This window comes from Homo sapiens, chromosome 7 (assembly GCF_000001405.40).
Source record: "Homo sapiens chromosome 7, GRCh38.p14 Primary Assembly".
NCBI classification, from domain to species: domain Eukaryota; kingdom Metazoa; phylum Chordata; class Mammalia; order Primates; family Hominidae; genus Homo; species Homo sapiens.
In genome coordinates, this window is record NC_000007.14 from 62,527,134 (window position 1) to 62,535,443 (window position 8,310).

Below are 8,310 nucleotides of genomic sequence, written 5' to 3' on the forward strand. Positions count from 1 at the left end.
GGAAATGGTATATCTTCACATAAAAACTAGACAGAAGCATTCGCAGAAACAGCTTTGTGATGTGTGCATTCAACTCACAGAATTGAACCTTTCTGCTCATAGAGCAGTTTTGAAACACTCTTTTTGTAGAAACTGCAAGTGGATATTTGGAGGACTTTGAGGCCTATGGTGGAAAAGGAAATATCTTCACATAAAAACTTGAGAAAAGCATTCTCAGAAACTTCTTTGTGAGGTGTGCATTCAACTCATAGAGTGGAACATTCCTTTTGATAGAGCAGTTTTGAAAGACTCCTTTTGTAGAGTCTGCTAGTGGATATTTGGAAAGTTGTGAGGCCTTTGTTGGAAATGGGAATATCTTCACATAAAAATTGTCAGAAGCATTCTCAGAAACTGCTTTGTGATGTGTGCATTAAACTCGCAGAGTTGAACTTATCTTTTGATAGAAGAGTTTTGAAACACTCTTTTTGTAGAAACTACAAATGTTCATTCAGTGGGCTTTGAGGTCTACGGTGGAAATCGAAATATATTCACATACAAACTAGACAGAAGCATTCTCAGAAACTTCTTTGTGATGTGTGCCTTCAACTCAGAGAGTTGAACCTTCCTTTTGACAGAGCAGTTTTGAAACTGTTTTTGTAGGATCTGCAAGTGGATATTTGGAGCGATTTGCAGCCTATGGTGGAAAAGAAAATATCTTCACTTAAAAACTAGACAGAAACATTTTCAGAAACTTCTTTGTGATGTGTGCCTTCAACTCAAAGAGTTGAACCTTTCTGTTGATAGAGGAGTTTTGAAACATTCTTTTTGTAAAATCTCTAAGTGTTCATTTGGAGCCCTTTGAGTCCTACGGTTGAAAAGGAAATATCTTCACATAAAAACTAGACAGAAGCATTCTCAGAAACTTCCTTGTGATGTGTGCACTCAACGCTCACAGCTGAACCTTCATTTTGAGAGAGCAGTTTTGATACAGTCTGTTTGTGGAATCTGCAAGTGGATATTTGGAATGATTTGAGACCTATGGTGGAAAAGGAAATATCTTCACATAAAAACTAGACAGAAGCATTCTCCGAACCTGCTTTTTGATATGTGCATTCAACTCACAGAGTTGAACCTTTCTTTTCATAGAGCAGTTTTGAAACACTCTTTTTGTAGAATCTGCAAGTGTTCCCTTGGATCTCTTTGAGGCCTATAGTGGAAAAAAAATATTTTCACATAAAAACTACACAGAACCATTCTCAGAAACTTCTTTGTGAGGTGTGCCTTCAACTCACAGAGTTGAACCTTCCTTTTGATAGAGCAGTTTTGAAAGACTCCTTTTGTAGGATCTGTTAGTGGATATTTGGAGACTGTTGGACTTCTTCATTGGAAACAGGAATATCTTCACATAAAAATTAGTCAGAAGCATTCTCAGAAACTTCTTTGTGATGTGTGCATTAAACTCGCAGAGTTGAACTTTTCTTTTGATAGAGGAGTTTTGAAACACTCTTTTTGTAGAAAGTGCAAGTGTTCATTTACTGCGATTTGAGGCCTATTGTGGAAAAGGAAATATCTGCACATAAAAACTAGACAGAAGCATTCTCAGAAACTTCTTTTTGATGTGTGCCTTCAGCTCACAGTTGAACCTTCCTTTTGACAGAGCAGTTTTGAAACAGTCTTTTTGTAGAAACTGCAAGTGGATATTTGTAGCCCTTTGAGGCCTGTGGTGGAAAAGGAAATATCTTCACATAAAAACTAGACAGAAGCATTCTCAGAAACTGCTTTGTGATGTGTGCCTTCAACTCAAAGAGTTGAACCTTTCTTTTGATAGAGCAGTATTGAAATTCTCCTTTTGTAGAATCTGCTTGTGGATATTTGGAGCTATTTGCAGCCTTCATTGGAAATGGGATATTTACAAATAAAAACTAGACGGAAGCATTCTCAGAAACTGCTTTGTGAGGTGGACATTCGACTCACAGTGTTGAAACTTTCTTTTGATAGAGCAGTTTTTAAACACTCTTGTAGAATCCAAAAGTGTTCGTTTGGTGCACTTTGAGGCCTTAGGTTGAAAAGGAAATATCTTCACATAAAAACCAGACAGAAGCATTCTCAGAAACTTCCTTGCGACCTGTGCACTCAACTCTCAGATGTGAACCTTCCTTTTGAGAGAGCAGTTTTGAAACAGTGTTTTTGTAGAATCTGCAAGTGGATATTTGGAGTGATTTGAAACCTATGGTGGAAAAGGAAATATCTTCACATAAAAACTTGACAGAGGCATTCTCAGAAACTTCTTGGTGATGTGTGCATTGAAGTAACAGAGTTGAACCTTTCTTTTGATAGAGCAGTTTTGAAACACTCCTGTCATGTAATCTGCTTGTAATTATTTGGAGCTCTTTGAGGCCTGCCTAGGAAAAGGGATATCTTCACATAAAAACTAGACAGAAGCATTCTCAGAAAATGCTTTGTGATGTGTGCATTCAACTCACAGAGTTGAACCTTCCTTTTGATGGAGGTTTTTTGAAACAGTCTTTTTGTAGAATCCGCAAGTGGATATTTGGAGCAATTTGAGGCCTAGGGTGGAAAAGAAAATATCTTCACATAAAAACTAGACAAAAACATTCTCAGAAACTTCTGGTGTTGTCTGCATTCAACTCACAGAGTTGAATCTTTCTTTTGATAGAGCAGTTTTGAAACACTCTTTGTGTAGAATCTGCAAGTGTTCATTTGGAGCGCTTTCAGGCCTATGGTGGAAAAGGAAATATCTTCACATAAAAACAAGACAGAAGCATTCTCAGAAACTTCTTTGTGAGGTGTGCATTCAACCCACAGAGTTGTACCTTCCTTTTCATAGAGCCGTTTTGAAAGACTCCTTTTGTAGAATCTGCTAGTGGATATTTGGAGATTTTGGAGAGTTTCGTTTTAAAAGGCAATATCTTCACATAAAAACTGGTCAGAAGCATTCTCAGAAACTGCTTTGTGATGTGTGCATTAAACTCGCAGAGTTGAACTTTTCTTTTGATAGAGGAGATTTGAAACACTCTTTTTTTAGAAACTGCAAGTGTTCATTATTGCACTTTGAGGCCTATGGTAGAAAAGGAAATATCTTCACATAAAAACTAGACAGAAGCATTCTCAGAAACTTGTTTGTGACGTGTGCCGTCAACTCACAGAGTTGAACCTTCCTTTTGACAGAGCAGTTTTGAAACAGTCTTTTTGTAGAATCTGCAAGTGGAGAGTTGGAGCGATTTGAGGCCTATGGTGGAAAAGAAAATATCTTCACATAAAAACTAGACAGAAGCATTCTCAGAAACTTCTTTGTGATGTTTGCATTCAACTCACAGAGCTTAACCTTTCTTTTGATAGAGCAGTTTTGAAACCCTCTGTTTGTAAAGTCTGCAAGTGGATATTTTAAACTCTTTGAGGCCTTCGTTGGAAACGGGATTTCTTCATATAAAACTGGACTGAAGAATTCTGAGAAACTTCCTTGTGATGTTTGCATTCAACTCACAGAGTTGAACTTTTCTATTAATAGAGCAGTTTTGAAACACTCTTTTTGTAGAATCTGCAAGTGCTTATTTGGAGCGCTTTGAGGCCTATGGTGGAAAACGAAATATGTTCACATAAAAAGTAGACAGAAGGATTCTCAGAAATTTCTTTGTGATGTGTGCATTCAACTCACAGATTTGAACATTTCTTTTGATACAGCAGTATTGAAACTCTCCTTTTGCAGAATCTGCTCGAGAATATTTGGAGCCCTTTGAGGCCTTCGTTGGAAATGGGATATCTTCAAATGAAAACTAGACGGAAGCATTCTCAGAAACTACTTCTGAGGTGTGCATTCAAATCACAGAGTTGAACCTTTCTTTTCATAGAGCTGTTTTGAAACACTCTTTTTGTAGAGTCTGCAAGTGTTCATTTGGACCGCTTTGAGGCCTATGGTGGAAAAGGAAATATCTTCAGATAAAAACTAGACAGAAGCATTATCAGAAACTTCTTTGTGAGTTTTGCATTCAACTAATAGAGTTGAACCTTCCTTTTGATAAAGAAGTTTTGAAAGACTCCTTTTGTAGATTATGCTAGTGGATATTTGGAGATTTTGGAGGACTTCGTTGGACATGGGAATATCTTCAAATAAAAACTAGTCAGAAGCATTCTCAGAAACTGCTTTGTGATGTGTGCATTCAACTCACAGAGTTGAAATTTTCTTTTGATAGAACTGCTTTGAAACACTCTTTTTTGTAGAAACTGCATGTATTCATTTAGTGCGGTTTGAGGTCTTAGTTGGAAAAGGGAAAATCTTCACATATAAAATAGACAGAAGCATTCTCAGAAACTTCCTTGTGATGTGTGCATTGAACTCTCAGAGATGAACTTTCCTTTTGAGAGAGCAGTTTTGCAACAGTCTTTTTGCAGTTTCTGCAAGTGGACATTTGGAGCGATTTGAGATCTATGGTTGAAAAGGATATATCTTCACATAAAAACTTGACAGAAGCATTCTCAACAACTTCTTTGTGATGTGTGCCTTCAACTCACAGAGTTGAACATTCCTTATGACAGAGCAGGTTTGAAACAGTGTTCTTGTAGAATCTGCAAGTGGATATTTGGAGCGATTTTTGGCCTATGGTGGAAAAGAAAATATCTTCACATAAAAACTAGACAGAAGCATTCTCATAAACCTTGTAATGTTTGCATTCAACTCACACAGCTGAACATTCCTTTTGATAGAGCAGTTTTGAAACACTCTTTTGTAGAATCTGCAAGTGAATATTTGGAGCGCTTTGAGGCCTTTGTTGGAAATGGGAATATCTTCACATAAAAACTAGATAGAAGCATTCTCAGAATCTTCTGTGTCATGTGTCCATTCAACTTACAGAATTGAACCTTTCTTTTCATAGGATAGTTTTGATACACTCTTTTTGTAGAATCTGTAATTGGACATTTGGAGTTCTTTAAGTCCTGTGGTGGATAAGGAAATAATTTCACATAAAAACTAGACAGAAGCATTCTCAGAAACTTCTATGTGATGTGTGCATTCAACTCACAGAGTTGAACCTTCCTTTTGACAGAGCAGTTTGGAAACACTCTTTTTGTAGGATCTGCAAGTGGATATTAGGAGCCCTTTTTGGCCTATGGTATAAACGGAAATATCTTCACATTAAAAGTAGACAGAAGCATTCTCCGAAACTACTTTGTGACTTGTGCATTAAACCCAGAGAGTTTAACCTTCCTTTTTATGGTGCAGTTTTGAAACACTCTTTCTGTAGGATCTGCAAGTGGATATTCAGAGCGCTTTCAGGCCTATAGTAGAAAAGGAACTATCTTCATATAAAAACTAGACAGAAGCATTCCCAGAAACTACTTTGTGATGTTTGCATTCAAGTCACAGGGTTGAACATTCTTTTTGATAAAGCAGTTTTGAAACACTCTTTTTGTAAAATCTGGAAGTGCATATTTGGACGGCTTTGAGGCCTTTGTTGGAAATGGGAATATCTTCACATAAAAATTAGACAGAAGCATTCTCACAAAATTCTGTGATGTGTGCATTCAACTCACAGAGTTGAAACTTTCTTTTGATAGAACTGTTCTCAAAGGCTCTTTTTGTAGAATATGCAGGTGGACATTTTGAGCTCTTTTAGGACTGTGGTGGAAATGGAAATATCTTCACATACAAACTAGACAGAAGCCTTCTCAGAGACTTCTTTGTGATGTGCACATTCAACCCAAAGAGTTGAATCTTCCCTTTGATAGAGCAGTTTCAAAACACTCTTTTTGTAGAATCTGCAAGGGGATATGTGGAGTGCTTTGAGGCCTACGGTGGAAACGGGAATATCTTCACATACAAACTAGACAGAAGCATTCTCATAAACTTCTTTGTGATGTGTGCATTCAACTCAGGGAGTTGAAACTTCCTATTGATACAGCAGTTTTGAAAATCTCTTTTTGTAGAAACTTCAAGTGGATACTTGGAGCAATTTGAGCCCTTCATTGGAAATGGGAATATCTTCACATAAAAACTAGACAGAAGTCTTCTCAGAAACTTCTTTGTGATGTGTGCATTCAACTCACAGAGTTGAACTTTGCTTTTCATAGAGCAGTTTTGAAACACTCTTTTTGTAGAATCTGCAAGTGGATATTTGGACTGATTTGAGGCCCTCGTTGGAAACCGGATTATCTTCACATAAAAACTAGACAGAAGCATTCTCAGAAACTCCGTTGTGATGTGTGCATTGAACTCACAGAATTGAACCTTTCTTCTGATAGAGAAGTTTTGAAACACTCTTTTTGTAGAATCTGCAAGTGGACATTTGGAGTGCTTTGAGGCCTCTGGTGGAAAAGGAAATAACTTCGCATAAAAACTAGACAGAAGCATTCTCAGAAACTATTTTGTGAAGTGTGCATTCTACTCAGAGAATAGAACCTTTTTTTTTTTGATAGAGCAGTTCTGAAACACTCTTTCTGTAGTATCTGCAAGTGGATATTTGGAGCACTTTGTGGCCTATGGTAGAAAAGGAAATATCGTCATATAAAACCTAGACAGAACCATTCTCAGAAACTACATAGTGATGTTTGCATTCAACTCACAGAGTTCAACATTCCTTTTGATAGAGCAGTTTTGGAACACTTTTTTGGTAGTATATGCCAGTGGATATTTGGGGTGCTTAGAGGCCTTTGTCAGAAACGGAAATATCTTCACTAAAGCTAGACAAAAGCATTCTCAGAAACTTCTCTGTGATGTGTGCATTCAACTCACAGAGTTGAACATTTCTTTTGAAAGACCAGTATTGAATCACACTTTTTGTAGAACCTGCCAGTGGACATTTGTAGCTCTTAGAGGATTGTGATGGAAAAGGAAATATCTTCACATAAAAAGTAGACAGAAGCATTCTCAGAGACTTCTTTGTGATGTGTGCATTCAACACACAGAGTTCAACATTCTCTTTGATAGAGCACTTTTGAAACACTCTTTTTGTAGAATCTGCAAGGGGATATTTGGAGTGCTTTGAGGCCTACGGTGGAAGCGGGAATATCTTCACATAAAAACTAGACAGAAGCATTCTCAGAGACTTTTTGGTTATGTGTGCATTCAACTCACAGAATTGAACCTTTCTTCTGATAGAGCACTTTTGAACAACTCTTTTTGTAGAATCTGCAAGTGGACATTTGGGGCGTTTAGGGGCCTGTGGTGGAAAAGGAAACAACTTCACATAAATACTAGACAGAAGCATCCTTAGAAACTTCTTAGTGATGTGTGCATTCAACTCACAGAGTTGAACCTTCCTTTTGATAGAGTAGTTTTGAAATACTCTTTTTGTTGAATCGGCAACTGGATATATGCTTTGCTTAGAGGCCAATGGGGGAAAGGGGAATATCTTTACATAAAAACTAGACAGAAGCATTCACATAACTTTCTTTGTCATGTGTGCATTCAACTCAGAGAGTTGAAACATCCTATTGTTAGAGCAGTTTTGAAACACTCTTTTTGTAGAATCTGCAAGTGGATATTTGGAGTGCTTTGAAGCCTATGGTAGAAAAGGAAATATCTTCCTATAAAAAGTAGACAGAAGCATTCTCAGAAACTACTTTGTTATGTTTGCATTCAAATCACACAGTTGAACATTCCTTTTGATAGAGCAGTTTTGAAACGCTCTTTTTGTAGAATCTGCAAGTGGATATTTGGACGGCTTCGAGGCCTTCGTTGTAAACGGGAATATCTTCACATAAAAACTAGACAGAAGCATTCTCAGAATTTTCTTTTTGACGTGTGCATTAAACTCAAAGAATTGAACATTTCTTTTTATAGAACACTTTTGAAACACTCTTTTTGAAGAATCTGCAAGTGGACATTTGGAGTTCTTTGAGGACTGTGGTGGAAATGGAAATATCTTCACATAAAATCTAGACAGAAGCATTCTCAGAGACTTCTTTGTGATGTGTGCATTCAACTCACAGAGTTGAACCTTCCCTTTGATGGAGCAGTTTTGAAACACTCTTTTTGTACATTCTGAAAGGGGATATTTGGAGTGTTTGAGGCCTATGGTGGAATCGGTAATATTTTCACATAAAAATTAGACAGAAGCATTCTCAAACCTCTTTGTGATGTGTGCATTCAACTCACAGAGTTGAAACTTCCTAACGATACAGCAGTTTTGAAAAACTGTTTTTGTAGAATTTTCAAGTGGATATTTGGAGCACTTTGAGCCCTTCATTGGAAACGGGAATATCTTCACATAAAAAATAGACAGGAGCATTATCAGAAACTTCTTTGTGATGTGTGCATTCAACTCACAGAATTTAACCTTATTTTTCATAGAGCAGTTTTGAAACACTTTTTGT